At 57.4% G+C, this 17,140-nt stretch overlaps 1 protein-coding gene and 2 long non-coding RNA genes across 4 annotated transcripts in view, besides 6 other annotated features; 1 reads left to right on the top strand and 2 right to left on the bottom strand.

The window, feature by feature from the left end:
• Positions 1 to 60: part of an enhancer, noted in NCBI's record as "H3K4me1 hESC enhancer chr9:96730989-96731521 (GRCh37/hg19 assembly coordinates)", that runs on past the window's edge. NCBI's record gives its function as "activates a minimal SCP1, AML or CMV promoter by ChIP-STARR-seq in naive H9 embryonic stem cells {active_cell/tissue: H9 hESC(naive)}" and the evidence as "EXISTENCE:reporter gene assay evidence [ECO:0000049][PMID:30033119]".
• LOC124902216 (uncharacterized) overlaps positions 1 to 13,241 on the bottom strand; it is a 25,129-nt gene extending 11,888 nt beyond the window's left edge. For both annotated transcript variants that reach the window (XR_007061671.1, XR_007061672.1), the window contains exon 1: positions 13,127 to 13,241. This is a non-coding gene — a long non-coding RNA (uncharacterized LOC124902216). The remainder of the gene's footprint in view (positions 1 to 13,126) is intronic.
• Positions 2,129 to 2,298: an enhancer, noted in NCBI's record as "experimental_110021 CRE fragment used in MPRA reporter constructs". NCBI's record gives its function as "activates a minimal promoter by MPRAs in K562 erythroleukemia cells, with activity observed for the introgressed 9:96728836 variant allele {active_cell/tissue: K562}" and the evidence as "EXISTENCE:reporter gene assay evidence [ECO:0000049][PMID:34662402]".
• Positions 10,845 to 12,933, bottom strand: BARX1-DT (BARX1 divergent transcript). The gene is made up of 2 exons (NR_144455.1): positions 11,899 to 12,933; positions 10,845 to 11,254 (listed from the first exon to the last, which is right to left on the bottom strand). It is a non-coding gene; the product is annotated as a BARX1 divergent transcript (long non-coding RNA).
• Positions 12,356 to 12,886: an enhancer, noted in NCBI's record as "H3K4me1 hESC enhancer chr9:96718163-96718693 (GRCh37/hg19 assembly coordinates)". NCBI's record gives its function as "activates a minimal SCP1, AML or CMV promoter by ChIP-STARR-seq in naive H9 embryonic stem cells {active_cell/tissue: H9 hESC(naive)}" and the evidence as "EXISTENCE:reporter gene assay evidence [ECO:0000049][PMID:30033119]".
• Positions 12,887 to 13,418: an enhancer, noted in NCBI's record as "H3K4me1 hESC enhancer chr9:96717631-96718162 (GRCh37/hg19 assembly coordinates)". NCBI's record gives its function as "activates a minimal SCP1, AML or CMV promoter by ChIP-STARR-seq in primed H9 embryonic stem cells {active_cell/tissue: H9 hESC(primed)}" and the evidence as "EXISTENCE:reporter gene assay evidence [ECO:0000049][PMID:30033119]".
• BARX1 (BARX homeobox 1) lies at positions 13,412 to 17,140 on the top strand. The gene is made up of 4 exons (NM_021570.4): positions 13,412 to 13,843; positions 15,580 to 15,871; positions 15,954 to 16,038; positions 16,439 to 17,140. The coding sequence occupies exons 1-4, from the start codon at positions 13,621 to 13,623 to the stop codon at positions 16,601 to 16,603; spliced, it is 765 nt and encodes a 254-aa protein (NP_067545.3). The 5' UTR covers positions 13,412 to 13,620; the 3' UTR covers positions 16,604 to 17,140.
• Positions 14,830 to 15,393: an enhancer, noted in NCBI's record as "H3K4me1 hESC enhancer chr9:96715656-96716219 (GRCh37/hg19 assembly coordinates)". NCBI's record gives its function as "activates a minimal SCP1, AML or CMV promoter by ChIP-STARR-seq in primed H9 embryonic stem cells {active_cell/tissue: H9 hESC(primed)}" and the evidence as "EXISTENCE:reporter gene assay evidence [ECO:0000049][PMID:30033119]".
• Positions 15,394 to 15,958: an enhancer, noted in NCBI's record as "H3K4me1 hESC enhancer chr9:96715091-96715655 (GRCh37/hg19 assembly coordinates)". NCBI's record gives its function as "activates a minimal SCP1, AML or CMV promoter by ChIP-STARR-seq in primed H9 embryonic stem cells {active_cell/tissue: H9 hESC(primed)}" and the evidence as "EXISTENCE:reporter gene assay evidence [ECO:0000049][PMID:30033119]".

Here is a 17,140-nt window from a genome sequence, read left to right as displayed (position 1 = left end):
CCACCTCTGGCAGGGCCCCGAGTGCTTGGTGGAGGGAAGACGAGCTGGTGGCAGTGGTAGCCAGCCTGGATTCACTGTGCTGGTGCAGGGCTCCCCCGCCTCATTCGTTCAGTTTATTTAGCAGATGACTCACCAGCATGTGCTGGGGGCCTGGGCTGGTCTGGGGCTGCAGGAATGTGCATCAGCTGGTCCTCGCCTCACGAGAACTCCAGGACGCAAGTGCTAGTGGTATCCTCGTTTCTCAGTGGGAGAAACTGAGGCACACAGAAGGAATGTGCCTCTGTCACTGAGCGGGACAAGGTTTGAACCGGACACTGTGCCACCTCGCTTGCACCTTCATCTTCATGTTCTTGCTGTTTCCTCATGCATAACTGGTGCTCCCTTTATCTGATTGTTCTCTTTAAATGACAATGTTGTTCTTACTGAATAAATGTGTTTAAAAGTGATCTGGTCACGAGGTCAGGAGATCGAGACCATCCTGGCTAACACGGTGAAACCCCGTCTCTACTAAAAATACAAAAAATTAGCCGGGCGTGGTAGCGGGCGCCTGTAGTCCCAGCTACTCGGGAGGCTGAGGCAGGAGAATGGCGTGAACCTGGGAGGCGGAGCTTGCAGTGAGCCGAGATCGCGCCACTGCACTCCAGCCTGGGCGACAGAGCGAGACTCCGTCTCAAAAAAAAAAAAAAAAAAAAAAGTGATCTGGATCTTAGTTTTAAAAGCTGTGTGCAGTGGCTCACGCCTGTAATCCCAGCACTTTGAGAGGACCAGGCGGGTGGATCACCTGAGGTCAGGAGTTCGAGACCAGCCTGGCCAACATGGTGAAACCCTGTCTCTACTAGAAATACAAAAAATTAGCCAGGCATGGTGGCAGGTGCCTGTAATCCCAGCTACTCGGGGGACTGAGGCAGGAGAATCACTTGAGCCTGGGAGGCAGAGGTTGCAGTGAACCAAGATCGCTCCACTGCACTCCAGCCTGGGCGACAAGAGCAAAACTCCGTCTCAGAAAAAACAAACAAACACAAACAAACAAACAAAATAAGTAAATAAATAAAAATAAAAGCTCAGCATCACCTAGCAATTGTGGACGTAGTTAACTGGGGTCTGAATCCCATTGCAGAGTGTTGTGCCTTCACTCTCCCAGGCACGGCTGGCCGGGGGGACCTGACTGGTCCAGTGAGGCAGTGATGGGCCTGTGAGCACAGTGAGACCACACTGGCACCAAACTCAGACTCAAGACTTAGCATGATTGGAAAGACAGAAAGTGCCTGGGGAGGGAGTGACTCCTGCTGGGGTGTGTTGTTGATTAGTGCCATGCTCACATCAGCTGAGACAGCCCGTGTAGCTCAAAGCCCTTGGGGTAGGCCTGGGTCGGCCTCACCTGCACACATCCCTGCTTTCCCCTAACCTGGGAGAAGCGAGGGGAGGACAGGAAGGGGTAGAGTAGTGGTCAGGGTGCTCCTCCAGCCCAGGCCTGGCTGGCAGAACGTGGCATCTCACAGGCTGTGTCAGGCATCAGCCGCAGCCGGCGCTGGTGCCAGGAGCCTCCTGAGAGCCCACACTGGATCCAGCAGGCTGAGAGGCACTTGTCCTGCAGGGCATGGAGAGGGAGGGGTGACCTCCTATGGGCAGCACCTGTGCCCTGAGAGTGGGGCTGGGTGGGGTGGAGGCTGTGGTGGGCGCAGAGCAGGGTGGCCCCAGCCACCAGAACTAGGGTCTGAGAACATAGTCAAATTCTGCATGCCACCCTGTCCTGCATCTTGGAGCCCAGGACAATGAAACCAGGGGTAGGAGAAAAAGGAACCAGACGTGCTCCCTGGTCTGCGTCCACTGCTGGCAGCTCTGCCGCCTCAGCAGAGGATGGCCACCACCTCTGCCCTGGGACTTGCCTGGGTGAGAGGGGCCTCCCCTCTCCGGGCAGCGTCTTCCTCGGATCTGCTCCTTTTTTTTTTTTCTTGAGATAGAGTCTCACTCTTGTTGCCCAGGCTGGAGTGCAGTGGCGCAATCTCGACTCACTGCAACCTCTGCCTCCCTGGTTCAAGCGATTCTCCTGCCTCAGCCTCCCAAGTAGCTGGGAATAAGGCACCCGCCACCAGGCCCAGCTAATTTCTGTATTTTTAGTAGAGACAGACTTTCACCATATTGGCCAGGCTAGTCTCAAACTCCTAACCTCAGGTGATCCACCTGCCTCGGCCTCCCAAAGTGCTAGGATTATAGGTGTGAGCCAAGGATCTGCTATTTCTTAATCACAGCAAGGTGGCGGCTGCAGGCCATCACAACACCAGGGCTGGCCAGAATGTGGCCCCTTGTTCTCTTGTCCATGCTGTGGCCAGCCTCCTGCCAAAGGGGCTTCCTCAGGCACCAGCGGGCATTGTAGGGATGAAGGACATCACAGTCCCTCTGCAGGCAGGGTCACTGGCCGGGGGTGGACTCCGAGGTTTGCCCCTGGGTGATGGGAGAGGGCGAAGATTCAAACAGGATGTCTGCCCTCCTGTGGTCTCTCTCCTGTGGCAGACATGAGGCTCCCCACCAACACACACACCTCCCTGGCTCAACTTGGGTGCTACTGCAGCACAGCAAAGCTCTGCAAACACTGCTATTATCTCATATTATTATCTCCTCCATGGGTCAGGATCTGCTCAGGGTCTCATAAGGCAGCAATAAGGTGCCAGTCAGGCTGCGGTCTCACCTGGAGCTCTGCTAAGGAAGACCCACTTCTGAGCTTATTCAGGCTGTTGGCTGAGTTTACCTGCTTGCTCTGGGTCCTGGCCAAGCGGGCCCTCTGTCGGCCGCTCACAACATGCAACTGGCTTCTTCAAGGCTGGCAGAACTTCTCTGACCTCAGGGAAGACCTCAGTCACTTTTTTTTTTCTTTGAGACAGAGTCTTGCTCTGTTGCCCGGGACGGAGTGCTCTGGTGTGATCTCAGCTAACTGCAACCTCTGCCTCTTGGGTTCAAGTCATTCTCCTGCCTCAGCCTCCCGAGTAGCTGGGATTATAGGCATGCGCCACCACGCCCGACTAATTTTTGTATTTTTAGTAGAGATGGGGTTTCTCCATGTTGACCAGGCTGGTCTCGAACTCCTGACCTAAGGTGATCTGCCTGCCTCAGCCTCCCAAAGTGCTGGGATTACAGGCGCGAGCCACTGTGCCTGGCCCCAGTCCCTCTTAAAGGGGTTGTCTCTTAAAGGGGTAGTCAGGCCCAGGACAATCTCCCTTTCGATCAATTCAAAGTCCACCAGTTAGGGACCTCAAAATCCTTTTTGCCATATCAGGTAGCACCATCAGGGTGATGCTATCCTATCACACTGATAGGCCCCCTATATTCAAAGGGATGGATTATGTAGGCCACAAACACTTTGATGGATGAATTTTGCTCTAATCTGTAATAGAAACATAAAATGGAAAGCCAGTAGACTTATAAATTAAGGTGGATTTTTAACAGCAAGTATGCAGATAGGATATGTTTTCTTCCCTTGTTTCAATATGTTGCTTATCATCTGGGGAAGGAGCAGGCAGAACTCAAAACAATGATAACAACCTTTTCTACCCATTTGGTTTGATGAGAAGAGAAGCAAACAAATAATTGGCAGGACTGTTGGGAACAGTTGTGTGGGTTGCACACTGCACAATCAAGAAGTGCTATTCTCAGCACAGTCAATGACACGCCTGGGAGTTACGTAGTCTGTAAATGGCAGTCCTGCTCTCCTAGACTGAGCCAGAATGGGATGGGGTTGGGACCAGCACAGGGCCAACCTATGGAAGGAGCCCAGTACCATGGGTGTCCTGACCAGAACTGAGTCCACAGGGCCCTGCCCTTTGACTGGAGATGCCTTGCCTGCTGTTCGTGCTTGGGTAGGAACAGGGCTGCCTCCCAGGGCACTCCCTGGTCAGTGAGCTGTGTCTGCAGGGGATGGCTGCTCCAGTCCATCTTCTCCACTCAGAGCAGGATGAGGTGGGTAACAGTAAGTCCAGATCTGGACACAGTGAGCGTGGTGTGCGGGTGACCTTTGGGCAGCTGGAGCTATAGGTCTGTCTCAGTGGCAATCAGCGAGGGAAAGTAGGGGTTAAGTCAGAAGGTGAAGGACCCCAAAAAGGTCATTGTGATACTGTGGAGGGAGCACTGGTTCCAATCCCAGCTCCACCTCTCAGGCAAATGAGGTCACCCCTCTGTGCCTCAGTTTCCTTGTTAGTAAATTAAGGGTAAAATTGCCAGTCTCCTACAGTGGAAGACATAAGTTTAAATGAGATCATGTAACATGGGGCACAAGGCCTTGCACAGAGGGTGTGCTCTCTAGAAGACTGACTAGGGCTTTTCCAGGTTGGGGAGTGCAGTGGAACCCACAACTGTACTGAGAGACAGACATCCCTTTTCAGTAGCAGGCCCAGAGAGCATCCCCATGGGCTTCAATACGGGGCACAGAGCTCAGCCTCTTAAGTCCCTGAAGGTCAGAAGTAGCTGGCTCTAAAAGTATCCAAACATTTAAAATCCAACCTGTGCTGTCTGGCCTGCTGAGCGCAACACCAACACCCCACAGTGGAAGCCATGAGCTCACTGTGTATGTCTGGAAGCTCCCCACCCCCGGGACTGAGGGCCTCCCGCACGCCTCTGCTCCATGGCATGCTCCCTCCTGCTGTGTCCACCACCTTCTGCGTGCTGTGTCTTTGCCACTGGCTGTGAGCACATTTGTACGTCTCTGCATGGTTAAACTGCACTTCCCGTGGGCAGATAAGATGCCTTTTTCTTTGTATCTTCAGCAACCAGCAAGGTGTTTGATACATAGAGAGGGAAAGTAAATACTGGATTATTTTTCTTTTTTTAAAAAAAAAATTTCCCTCAGCTTTACTGAAGTATAATTGGCAAATAAAAATTGTATATATGGCTGGGCATGGTGGCTCATACCTGTAATTCCAGCACTTTGGGAGGCCAAGGCAGGTAGATTGCTTGAGCTCAGGAGTTCTGGAGAACAGCTTGGGCAACATGGTGAAACCCTGTTTCTACCAAAAATACAAAAATTAGCCGGGCATGGTGTGTACCTGCAGTCCCAGATACTAGGGAGGTTGAGGTGGGAAGATTGCTTGAGCCCAGGAGGTGGGAGGATTGCTTGAGCGCAGGAGGTGGAGGTTGCAGTGAGCTGAGAGGGCACCAGTGGGCTCCAGCCTAGGTGACAGAGTCAGACCCTGTCTCAAAAAAAAAAAAAAAAAAAAAAAAGGATGTATTCAATGTGTACAATGTGATGTTTTGGTATATGTATATACCGTGATGATCACCACAATCAAGCTAATTAACATATCTATCGCCTTACATAGTTACCATTTTGGTGAGAACACTGAAAACCGACCCTTTCGGCACACTTCAAGCACACAATACGTGATTGTTAACTATAGTCACCATGCTGTACGTAGATCCCCAGAATTTATCTTATAACTCAAAGTTTGTACCCTTTGACCGACATCTTCTCATTTCTCCCTCACATCCCGGCCCTAATAACCACCATTTCACTCTATTTCTATGATGTCAACTTTTTTAGATTCCACATACAAGTGAGATCATGCAGTCTTGTTTTCCTTTATAAGTGGAACGGTTCCGAGTGAGCATGGTTAAGACTCAATATGACCAGCAGAGGGCGCAAGAACCAAGGAAGATGCGGGGGCGGGGCGATAAGGCCTCCCTGTGAGCAAGATTTCCTGGAAACACTTCTAGCAAGCAACACATTTATAATCTCTATTTTTTCTGTCATATTCTTTCCCTTTGCCTAGTCCCTGCAAGATTTGTCACTTGGCAGCTGCAAAGGCTCAAGGCTTGGGAAACTCCCAGAAAATCAGAGCCACCGCCCCCTGTCCATCCACATTTCAACAGCTGGAGAGGATTTAGATGGAATTGCCAGGGGTTGGGAATGGCTGGTTGGGAAGAAGCACTGTCGCCGGGGGTGGCCTTCGCCCTTAAGGGGCGTCAAGCCTACGTCACTGGGCTCTCAGCAGTTCGTTAGGCAGCCACTGAAGGGAGTGAGCGCCCTGTCTCCAGGGGTGTGCAAGGAGCTGGAAGGCAGGGTAAACTATTTCTACTCCAAAGGCTGTTGCAAGGATTGAGAGGGTGATTGTACGTTGTGCAATCCGGTGTCTGGGTATAGTATTAATAAGGGAAACATTTAAATTGTTGAGAACTCAGAAATGGGTGTAGGAAATGAGTCAGGTGATTCTGTGTTCCTAAGTCCCAAATACTGTTAAATTAATAGATGCTTTCCTGGAGAAAAGAATTTAAAAGAAAAAAATGTTAACATAAGGCAACATGTCTGATATGGAAGTGCAATATTTGTGCTATCAGAATAATTGAAACTGCACAAGAATTGGCAAACTGTGGCCCATTGCCTGTTTTTGTTTGGCCAGCAAACTGAGAATGGTTTTTACATATTTAAGTGGTTGAAAAAAAAATAAGAATCATATTTTGCGATGTGAAAATTAGATATAATTCAGGTTTTCATATCTATAAATAAAGTTGGTTGGAACACAGCCATACCCACTCATTTATGCATTATCTAGGGCTACTTTCACACTACAAAGACAGGGCTGAGTCACCACAATAGGGCCATGTGGCCTGCAAAGTCTAAAACATTTGCTTATATGGCCCTTTACAGAACAAGTTTTTCAATCCATGACCTAAGCTGTTAACACTAGCAAGGAGAAAGATTCACCTAAAAACCCCCTCTTGTTTTCTCATTTGGGAAAACTGAGGCTTGGACAGGAAATGGGCTTGCTCAAGGGCAGTAGCAGGAAGAGGTCTGCAAACCAGGGGTCCAGCTCATCTCGAGGTCCCCTGTGTGCTTTGCCAATCTGCAAATATGTGGAATTTGGCCATTTGGGAACTGGGCTTGTAAGCCCATTCCTGGCACCAAGAGGCAGGAACAAGGCAGAAAGTACAGATGTGACATGGGAGAGGGGGCCCAGGGAAGCCCAGTGCCTGTGGAGGTGGCACCAGCTCCTGTCCCATCCTCTTCGTGTGTCATCTTCAGTCAGTTCAAACCAGCAGGAGGCAGGAGGGCTGGCCTGGAGCCAGGGTACCAGAGGCTGATCCTGCCTGGCATCTGAGGGGTGGTGTGGCTGTAGCCTCCTTTTCCCCACCTAGACCCCAGAACTCTTGCCTGTAAAAGAAGCACCATGCCCCCTGTTCCATCCCCTCCCGAGCAGCACCCAGTGGGAGGTGCAGCTGGAGGAGGCAGTACCCAGCCCCCTCTCCCTTCCAGTCCTGGCAAGGTGGTGGAGGGGGGAGGTGGCAGGTGAAGACAGGACTGGTAGCCACAGTAGAGTCCTGTGTCAGGAAGGACAGATGCAAGTGTGAGTCCCTGCTGGAATGTGGGCAGGCCAATGTGATCTGGCCTGGCCTCCCTGCCACCAGGAGACATTCTGGAGGAGATGCTGTGGTCCACCTCACCTGGCTAAGGGGCCAGGGCCCAGACCCCTTCCCCAATCCCAGGCCTAGCTCCCCAGGCTGCCCAAGCTGGAAAGAATTCCCCACCCCCTACACAGGCTATAGAACCCTCCAAGAGCTCTGTGCCTATTAAACGTATTAAATCTGCAGAGCGTCTGGCACCTGGTGGGCACACCGCGAGCATGAAGGCCTCTTCTCTTATTAGGAGGACGGGACTGTGGCTTGGCCGTCCTTCTGATGAAAAGGAACAGAAAGTGGGGGGAGCGGGAGCAGAAGAGGAGACAAGAGCGAGAGTGAACGAGCAACAAAAGAAAGAAGAGGGGTGGGGGGAGGACTAAAAAAAAACAAAAGAAAGAGGAGGGGGAAATGGGTGGAAGAAGGGAAGAGAGGAAAAAAAAAAGCAAATAAAGAAAGAAAAGGGGAAAAGAAAGAAAAGCCGAGTCGTTTCCGCGGGCGCCTCGCCGCGTTCTGGCCCGCACGAGCCGGCCGCTCTCTGGGGTCTCAGGCTCTGCACGTCGGGGAGGCTCCTCGAAAAGCCGGGTCTGCAGCTTCCAGGGGCTGTGACCAGCGCTTCATGGGCTCTGTGGGAGCCCGGGGTGGAAACCAGGTCTCGAGCTGCGGCCTGGCACCAGCCCAGATGGGGCAAGGGAGGGCCTGCGGAGTCGGTCCGCACCGACCCTGACTCTCCTCGGAAGGCCGAAGCTGTATGCTCGTGGGGATCAGTCCTGGGCCAAGGGAGCATTCTCGAAGGGTCCACACTCGCCGGGGGGAGAGCGCCTGTGCGGGTCGCAAACACCATCCCCGCCCGGCCTTGCAGTCCGCGCCCAGCAGCGCGGCCGTGCCCACAGAGCCCCGGCACCCAGACGGCTACTTCCTGGCTCTGGGTGTGGCCTCAGGCGCCGCTGGTTCGCGTAACTGGACTCGGATGCAAGGTCTCTGCGGGAGCCGCCGGGGCTGGCGAGCGGTGGGTGTGAAATGGAGGCGGGACCCGTCCAGGGCCTGGAGGGCTGGGAGCGGCGGGCTGGCGGCTCCGCGAGTCCAGGAGCATCGCCTCAGGTTCCTGGACCACTAAGAACCGGGTCATCTCCGGGTCACAGGAGCGAGTTATTTATTTCCTATCTAAGGATCTGTCTTTTATTTTTATTTATTATTTTGGTTAAGAGACGGGGTCTGGATCTGTTGCCCAGGCTTGTGCAGTGGGGCAATCATTGTTCACTGCAGCCTCGAACTGTTGGGCTCAAGGAATCCCCCTACCTCAACCTGCCTAGAAGCTGGGACTACAGGCGCTTGCCACCACGCTGGGCTGTTGGATGTATTTAAACTAACACTTCCATAGAAAATTAAACATTAAAAAAATCAACAACAAAACTTACAAAACAAAAATAAAGTAGCGAATTCCAAAGGAACAAATTTGTAAATTGCTCCAAGAGGGGGAGCTTGGAAAGAGAGGGGGATGTGTCTAAAGGCGCTGTCACCCGAAACACAATTTGACCCCGAGCTTCTAGGGCTTTGAAATGACTCAAAACGAATGCCCACATTTGAGTTCGAAATTTTCATGAAAGAAAGGGTCACAGAGACTGGCTTCTCCAAAGAGAAAGCGAGTTGGTGGTCTCCAGGAGATAATGACCTGTAAGCGTGGGGAGGGGGTAATTTTATAATTCCAAAATTTTCTGTTTTGAAGCTAGAAAAGATGTTGCCAGTCTCGGCTCGGGGCAAAAGCAGGGCGAACGCCGCAGCCCACCCGGACAGGGCGTTCCGGGCGCGGTCCAGGCGGCCTCTGTCGGGCACAGCACACCTGCGGCCAAGGCCGGTGCCCCAGTCCCAGCAGCACCACCAACGCCACCAACAGCCTGCTGGGCCAAGGACAATCAGAACCAAAGGTTTAAAAAAAAAAAAGAAGAAGAAGAAAAAAGAAAAGAGGAAACGAGCTCCATTCCCGGCGCTCGCGACGCGTCCCCAGGGACGGACCGTGTGCTGGGTGGCTGGGCGCGCAAGGCTGCGCGGGGAGCAGAAGGCCGCGAGGTGGGGCGGCCCGGGGCCGCCTGGGCCCCTAGGGGCTGGACGTCAACCTGTTAGATAGAGGGCGTGGGACCCCCCGCAGGCGGCTGCTCGGACGACCGCATCCGGAGGTGAGCTGACCGTTCTGGAAGAAGCCTCCGCTCCACCGCGGCCCCAACTTCGTTTTGCCAATTAAGATGCAGACCCGCTGCAAGTGGGAGCGGAAACAAACTGCCCACGGCTGAGGCGGATGGAGGAGAGCCCAGCGCCCTCCAAGCGATGCACGATCCCCCTGCCGCTGGCTGCTGGCCGCTGAGCCTGCTCGAGTGCTCCTTCCAGACTTAGCTTCCTCCTCTGTACAACGAACGGCTCCTGGACCCGTTCGCACGCGGAGCCATTTCACAATCCCGTCTGGGAGGCGCTGGAGTAGGAGAAGGGTGTGGGTGGAGGGGAGGTGGTTCTGGAACCTACACCTGAATGCTTAGGGGATTCGGTTGTGGGAATGAGGTGGTCCCCTCCCTGTCCCGCAGCCTCCAAAGGGGCTGTAGGGTCTGAGGGGCAGAACATGGGTGGGGAGGGGGCCGGTTCTGCGCTCCGAGGGCCCCTCATCCAGCGACCGGGCGGCGCCGAGGAACCCCTGCCGCCCGGAGCCCCTCGCCGCCCGGCTGCTAGGGAGGGCGGCTGGCCCGGGGCGCTGAGGTCACCTTTTCCACTGCGCCCGCCGCGAGCAGGACGGTTTCCGGGATTTTCGCGGCGGCGGCTAGAGGCCTCGGGAGGGGGTGTGTCCCAGGCGTTGGGCTGGCAGCTGCGCCCCTGGGGTGGGGACTGCAATCCCAGACTGCACCCCACTGGGGAGGAGGCTTCCCCTCTCTGGGCCTCGGTGTCCTCGACAGGGAGGGGGTTCCCCTTCTCTGGGACCCTCTTTTTTCGGCCGCCAACGCGGCAGTGCCTGAGCAGAGGAGGCCCCGCCGCCGCCGCCGTTTTTGTGTAATTTTCGCCTAAAAGGGGTTTATCTGCTGGTTTGCCCTGGGGTCGGGCGACGGGGAGGCTGTGTCTATCAAGAGCCGGGGGATCAGGGACAGACCTACAAGGGAGGTGTTTTGGGCGACCGGGGGCAGGACCCTGGCTCTCTCAGCCCCTGGAGCCAGCTGCGGTCTCCCAAAGTTCCCTAGGCGCTGGGCATTCTCCTTCCAGCCCTCAGGGCCTCATTCCCAAAGCCACCCTCTGCTCATGCTGCAGGGCTGGCCTGGGGCTGCAGGAAATGGTCCTGGCCAGAGTCCAAGGAGCTGGGGGTGCACACCTGTGGAATGGGGTGAGGGCTGGGCTGCACTACTCTTTTGACTCCCCAAAATCTAGAGATGAGGCCTCCATCCTGAAAATGACCCCCTTCCCCACAAGCTGACCAAGAAGCTACCCCAGGGGGATGGCTCATAGTAAAATAAGTTTAGTGACAGCTGATGAACAGTGTGATCCCCAAATCCTTGGATCTGGAATCTGGGGACCCATTTTGAGGATGTGAGACCCTCAGGTCTTGAGCATGGGGCAGAGATGGTTCAAATTTGGGTAGCTTCTGTTAGGGCCCAAATAACAGGGGATGGGACAGAGGCTAGCTGGGCCTACTCAGGGGAGAAACCACCACTAGGCTATGCCCTTAGGGAGATGCAGAAGCCAGGGGGTGAGGAAGGGGCAGGGGCCCTGCTAAGATGGGGGAGGTGAGGGAGGAAGCCGGAAAAAGGAGCTTGATATGGCTCTGTACAAGAAGCAATAGTAAACCAGCCCTACTCACTGGAGTCCCTGCACCAGGGCTGCCTCTTGCTGGGCCTCAGTTTCCCATCTGAAAAAGGAGATGGTTGGATTGAGTGATACTATTGCACTCATCTAGGGAGGGTTCTCTGAGTCTACCCGTTGATAGGGGGAGCCTGACTGGGCTGCCCCAGCCTCCCAGGAGACACTGGCTTGTTTCTATTTGCCAGGTAGGATGTCAGTGGCTGCTTGGCCAACAGCGACAGGGCCAGCTTCCTGGTCTCTTGGTCTCTCAGGAGGAGGCCTGCTCAGTGTGGGATACTGTTGCTCTTAGTGCGCCCCTCTCCACCCTTTCCAAAGAACCATGTAGGCTCACAGCACCACTCTCCGAGGGAGTCCGAAGCAACTGGCGGCCATTGAGGCCACCTTCTTTCAGTCCCAATGGTAACTCTGAGTTCAGAAAGTCATGCAACAACTGGGAAGGAGAGACAGTGGGCTCTTGGGACTGGGATCTTACCAGAGTAAGGTAGTCTTTGTCCTCACTCCAGGCCCTACAGACAAAGGATCTGGGCCACTTCCTAGTCCCCACCTGCCCCCCACCCCCACTCCCGAGTCTGGGGCAGGTGCCAGGGACTGAGGGCCAGCCTGAAGGCCTCCCCACCAGCAGCTGGAGCTGGAGAAAGGACTTCAACTTGGGTGGGGGGCATGGCTGTAGGTGTGGTAAGCCCTAGTTACCTGAGGTAAAGACTGAGGCCCCACATGGAGCTCACAGAGGAAGTCCGGGTGGCCCAGGACACCCCCAGTGCATCAGGCGCTGACTGGCAATGGTGGATGGGGCTAGGAGGTAGGCCCTGTGATTCCTGAGAAGGAGGAGGGCAGATGCTCCTCCCCCAACCTCCTGGGGACACTTCTCCCCTCTTGCCTGGAGGAACTGTTTTCTCTCCAAACAGACCTAAGGGCTCCCAGGGTGCAGGACCCTCGGAGTGCAGGACCCCCTCACTGAGTTCTCACAGTCTCTCTGGAGCCAAAGGTCAGCATCTCCTCAGGACAGGTAAGGAAACAGGCCCAGAAAGGGTCAGTGGTTTCACCAGTAGTGGCAGGACCAAAGAGAGGAGTTCAGCGTAGGGTAGCTTTGGGGTTGTTCACTCCACGGCTTGGGCTTATACTCTTCTAAGGATGGAAAGAAAGATCTAGAGAAGGTACTGCCAACTTCCTCCACCATGTTGGAGCTTTTGAGGCTCCGCAATGGAGCCAGGTCCCACCAGAGTTTGGTCTTTACACTCTCAGAGCACCCACTGGCCCCCTGGCCCCAACTCCGCCCAGTAACAGTTTCTTGATGCCCCAAAGCTGGGAAAAGGCAAAGCTGCATCCTTCCCTTCTCCTCGAATCCTTTTCCTTTTCTAACTAGGGGGATGTAACCAGCCTACAGTCTTCTGGGGGCTGTCAAGGAGGATGTGTCCATGGATCACTTGAATTTCCAATTCAAGCAAATCTCGGCTGGAGAACATTTTTCTCTCAGGGCAGCCCGGAGAGAAATGAGGCCGTACATGGTAAACTGAGGCAGAGGTGGGAGGGGTGCACAGGTGCCGCTACCGCTCTGCCCCTTGCATCCCTGAACGCTGCCTCACCCTTGCCGGGTTGGCGGTGTTGAGCCCGGGACTGGAGGCTGCTTGAGACCACCTCCTTCCCAGCTGAGGAGCGCGGCCTTTGCCCCTCCTCCTCCCGACCTTTCCGGGGCTACCTAAAAGCCGATCAAGCCGCCGGTTTTCTAGCTGTTCCCATTTCTTTACCGCCCCCTTCCTCTGCCCCGCCTGCCTCTGTGCCCTCCGTCACGTCACAGCCCGCTGGCTCTCACGCCTCTTTTGGTCTCTCTGCGCACATCTCGGTGGCGTCTCTGGTGCCCTCACATCACTGTCTGGAATCTTGTTTGGCCCACGCCGTCTGCCTCTGCCCCTTCTCTCACCTGTGTCGTTTGATCCCTCCGACTCTCGTCTCTGGGGGTCTTGCCTCCCGAACTCTCCGGCTCTCTCCTTCCAGGGCGTGCGCTCCGCTCAGTCTCCCTCGGTCTCGGTCGGCCGGCCTCTTTCACGTGGCCCCCTCCTTTTTGGCCTCCCTTCCGCCTCCCTCCCTTCTGGGTCCCTCCCTCCGGCTCAGCCTAGGGGTTGGGGGCGGCGGCGCGGGGCGGGGCGGGGCGGGGCGGTGACGCGGGGCTGGCCGGGCAAGAGGCGCGGCGGCGTGGGGAGGGGGCGCAGTCCCGGGTTCGACCGGCCGAGCCCCGCGCGCCCCGCCCGCGCCCTGCGCCTCCGCCCGGCCGGCCGGCGGGGGAGGGGGCATGAGCCGGCGCCCGCGCGCCGCCCCGAGCTGCGGGCCGGCCTAGAGCCCCGCGCGGGCCCCGCGCCGGAGCCAAGCCGTCGCCGCCGCCGCCGCCAAACCGCGGGCGCAGCAGTGGGCGCCGCGATGCAGCGGCCGGGGGAGCCGGGCGCCGCGCGCTTCGGCCCGCCCGAGGGCTGCGCGGACCACCGGCCGCACCGCTATCGCAGCTTCATGATTGAGGAGATCCTCACGGAGCCACCCGGGCCCAAGGGCGCCGCGCCCGCAGCCGCCGCTGCCGCGGCGGGCGAGCTGCTGAAGTTCGGCGTGCAGGCGCTGCTGGCGGCGCGGCCCTTCCACAGCCACCTGGGTACGTGTGGCGGCCGCGGGGTCGCGGGCCGGGCTTGGCGGGAGACAGCGAGCTGAACCGCGGGGGCGCCCCGAGCCTCCTCCGGCATCGAAGCAGCCCCGGGAAGCTGCTCTGGGAGCGCAGGTTCTGGGACCGTCTCTCGGAGCCCTCCAGGCGGGAGGCGGAGGGTGCAAGCTCCAGGCCTCACAGAAACCAGGCCTCGTGCCCGCGGGCCGCCCGGGGAGGGTGTTCGCTCTTTCCTTCACTGCTTCCCTTCGGCCTCCAGCCCGGGGACCCCGAGTGAGCATCCCCAGTGCAGGCGCACTGCCAGGCTACGGACTCTCGTGGGTGGAAGCGACCTCAGGCCACGGGCGCCTGGGCTTCGCCGCAGAGGGATGGCCGGGAGTGGCCGCGGCTGCCCAACCCAGGGAAGTCGGACCTCTGGGGAGGAGGCCTGCGCTCCCGAGGGCTGGGTGCTGACGCGGGCCCAAGCCGGCCCGGAGTCCCCGGGAGCTCCAGCGGGCGAGGAACGCGGCCTTGGCCGCAGTGCGGACCTGCTTCGGCCTTGCCTTGGGGCCAGAGGCCTGACTGTGAGCAGCTGCCTGGCTGTCCCTTCTGGTTTCAGGTCGGCTGGGCCTCTGCAGGGCTTGAACGGCCTGCGCAGACCTTTTCAGCTTCTGCCCTTTCTTCTAATTTGGCGGGGCCTGCTCTGCCCTGATGGTGCTGTCTCCATCGCACTCCACCCTCGTCTTGTCTTTCCCTATCTCGCTTTCCAACCGTCTGCCGGTCGGCCTCCCTCGCTTCTCTCATTGGGGTCGGCCTGCCTCCCATCTCCCACCTTTTCCCTACGGGTCCTCTGCCCCACATTTACCTGCGCCTTGCCCTGCCCTTTCCGACTCCAGCCAGGCTAGGACTCGCACCTCAGTGACAGGCCTGTCGGGGAAGGGAGGCTCCTACGCTGTAGCCGGGACCCCAGCCCTTCAAGTCGCCTTCCCTGCACCCCCCCACCTCCTAGTCGGTGCTCCCTAGCCTGGAGACGGCAGGGCCAGCGCGCTCCTTCTAAGTCCAGCTGGGACTCGGCCATTCGGCTACCTTTCGTCTCCATCTGCTCTGTTGCTACTAATTCGTTTGAAGCGGGCACACAATCATTTTAGGACTGAAGAAAATGGAAACATCTGCATGGGGAAGCGTCTGAAAATAGAAAACGTGAACAATAATTTCCAGGTTCTCAGGGTACTTTGGAATTTCCGGGAAGCACCCAACTCCGGCCCAGATGACTCCTGGCCACCGCATGGCTGTTGTGCCACGCACGGAAGAGCAAATGTGCACGCTCCGTGCATGTTCTTTTTCTAACGCAGCAAGGCTGATTTGGTTGGAGCAAACGCCATCTTCTTAGGACCAGCTGCCGTTTTCTTTTTGGTTTCTACTTTCCCCGAAAGACAAGACACACTCCGAGTTTCTCGCAGCTGCAAACATGTTCATCAGGAACCCCGAGATCTCAGAGGCAGCTGAGGCCTGGGGAACTCCAGGACAGAACACGGACAGGGTCGAGGAGATACTCCCTCCCAAATCTGGGGAACGGCAACGTTGAGGAGGGTCTCCATCTGCGCCACCGGCGCCGACCGGCAGGGCGTGGAGGTTTTGCGCTGGGAGGCACTGGCCAAGCGCGAGCACCCCCGCGGCACGTGGTGCGGCAGTCCCTGGGGCAGAGGAGCGCGGCCGTAGCTCACCCGGGTCCTCATTCTCTTTCTTCGCAGCCGTGCTGAAGGCCGAGCAGGCGGCGGTGTTCAAGTTCCCACTGGCGCCGCTGGGCTGTTCAGGGCTGAGCTCTGCGTTGCTGGCGGCAGGGCCCGGGCTGCCCGGCGCCGCGGGTGCGCCACACCTGCCGCTCGAGTTGCAGCTCCGCGGGAAGCTGGAGGCGGCAGGCCCTGGGGAGCCAGGCACCAAAGCCAAGAAGGGGCGTCGGAGCCGCACTGTGTTCACCGAGCTGCAGCTGATGGGCCTGGAGAAACGCTTCGAGAAGCAGAAGTACCTTTCCACGCCGGACAGGTAGGGCGGTACAAGGCTGGGGCCAGCGGGCTGTGGGAGTGTGGTCACTTGCCTTGCTGAGGGTGCGCCCTGCTCTTTCCAGAATAGATCTTGCTGAGTCCCTGGGCCTGAGCCAGTTGCAGGTGAAGACGTGGTACCAGAATCGGAGGATGAAGTGGAAGAAAATAGTGAGTGTGCCTGGTGGCTTCCCACCCCTCAGCTTCCTGGGCCATGCCCCGGTGCATGCAGAGCTGCTCTCCTCTTTCTCCCCACTGAGACTCTGCCCAACCCCCCGATTCCCTCGGTGCCTGGTACGCACCGGAATCCTCTCAGTTTTTTCTGCCCCTTGGGTAAGCCAACATTTCGTCCTTTCCCGCGGCACCTTCAGGCCTCCTGGCAGTCTTATGCTCCCCAGGCCGGGCCGCTCCCCAGGCGGCATTTGGACAAATGGCCGCCATTTCCCGGGACATTTCCCCACCATTTCCTCATATGGACCCTGCACTCCTTAGTCCTACCTGGGTTCAAGTCTCCTCGGGGGTCCCCAGTCCACGTGCTGGCTCACCCAGGTGCTGGCGGTCCCCCGTGCAGGTGCTGCAGGGCGGCGGCCTGGAGTCTCCCACCAAGCCCAAGGGGCGGCCCAAGAAGAACTCAATTCCAACGAGCGAGCAGCTTACTGAGCAGGAGCGCGCCAAGGATGCAGAGAAACCGGCGGAGGTGCCGGGCGAGCCCAGCGACAGGAGCCGCGAGGACTGAGGGCGGTATACGGTGCGGGGCCTGGGATGCCCGCGCCACCCGCAGCCCCCTCACTCGGCGGAAACCCGCGAGCCGGCCCTTCCGCGTCCAAGAAGTTTACTTCCTAAGCCTTTTTATTATGATCTTGAATGCGGACAATTGGGGCCAAACGAGGAAGGACACAGACCCAAAAGCCAGACCCAGGTCCCAGCGCGCTTCTGGGCTCTAACCTGGGAGACTCGCATCCAGCCCGGCGGAAGCTACAGTCTCTACCCTGAGCTCCGTGGCGCAGAGCGCTCCACGCGTATTCACGCCCCGCTCCTCGCCTGCACCCCCACCCCGTCTGGGGCCTGCCCTCCCGGCCGGGGAGCCTCCAGGCACACACCCGCTTCTGGACGTCGGGGACCCAGCGGTTGGGCTCAGGCCACAACGGCCTGAGATTGCCCCGGGGCAACCCGTCGGCTCGGCCTGGAGGCCGGGTCCCCGATGTCGCTGGGGCCCCTACCCCCTCTTGCGAAGACGGTGACTTTTTTTCCAATAAAATATTTTATGACACAA

Source organism: Homo sapiens, chromosome 9, assembly GCF_000001405.40.
Source record: "Homo sapiens chromosome 9, GRCh38.p14 Primary Assembly".
In the NCBI taxonomy this organism is placed as follows: domain Eukaryota; kingdom Metazoa; phylum Chordata; class Mammalia; order Primates; family Hominidae; genus Homo; species Homo sapiens.
Note: the sequence above shows the minus strand (reverse complement) of the source record. Positions and strands in the feature narration are given on the sequence as shown.

Bases quoted from the DNA above. Each gene is read 5' to 3' on its own strand.
- BARX1 (NM_021570.4), top strand. From the start codon at position 13,621: ATGCAGCGGCCGGGGGAGCCGGGCGCCGCGCGCTTCGGCCCGCCCGAG. The intron at 13,844-15,579 runs GTACGTGTGGCG...CTTTCTTCGCAG, and splicing joins GCCCTTCCACAGCCACCTGG to CCGTGCTGAAGGCCGAGCAG. The intron at 16,039-16,438 runs GTGAGTGTGCCT...TCCCCCGTGCAG, and splicing joins GGATGAAGTGGAAGAAAATA to GTGCTGCAGGGCGGCGGCCT.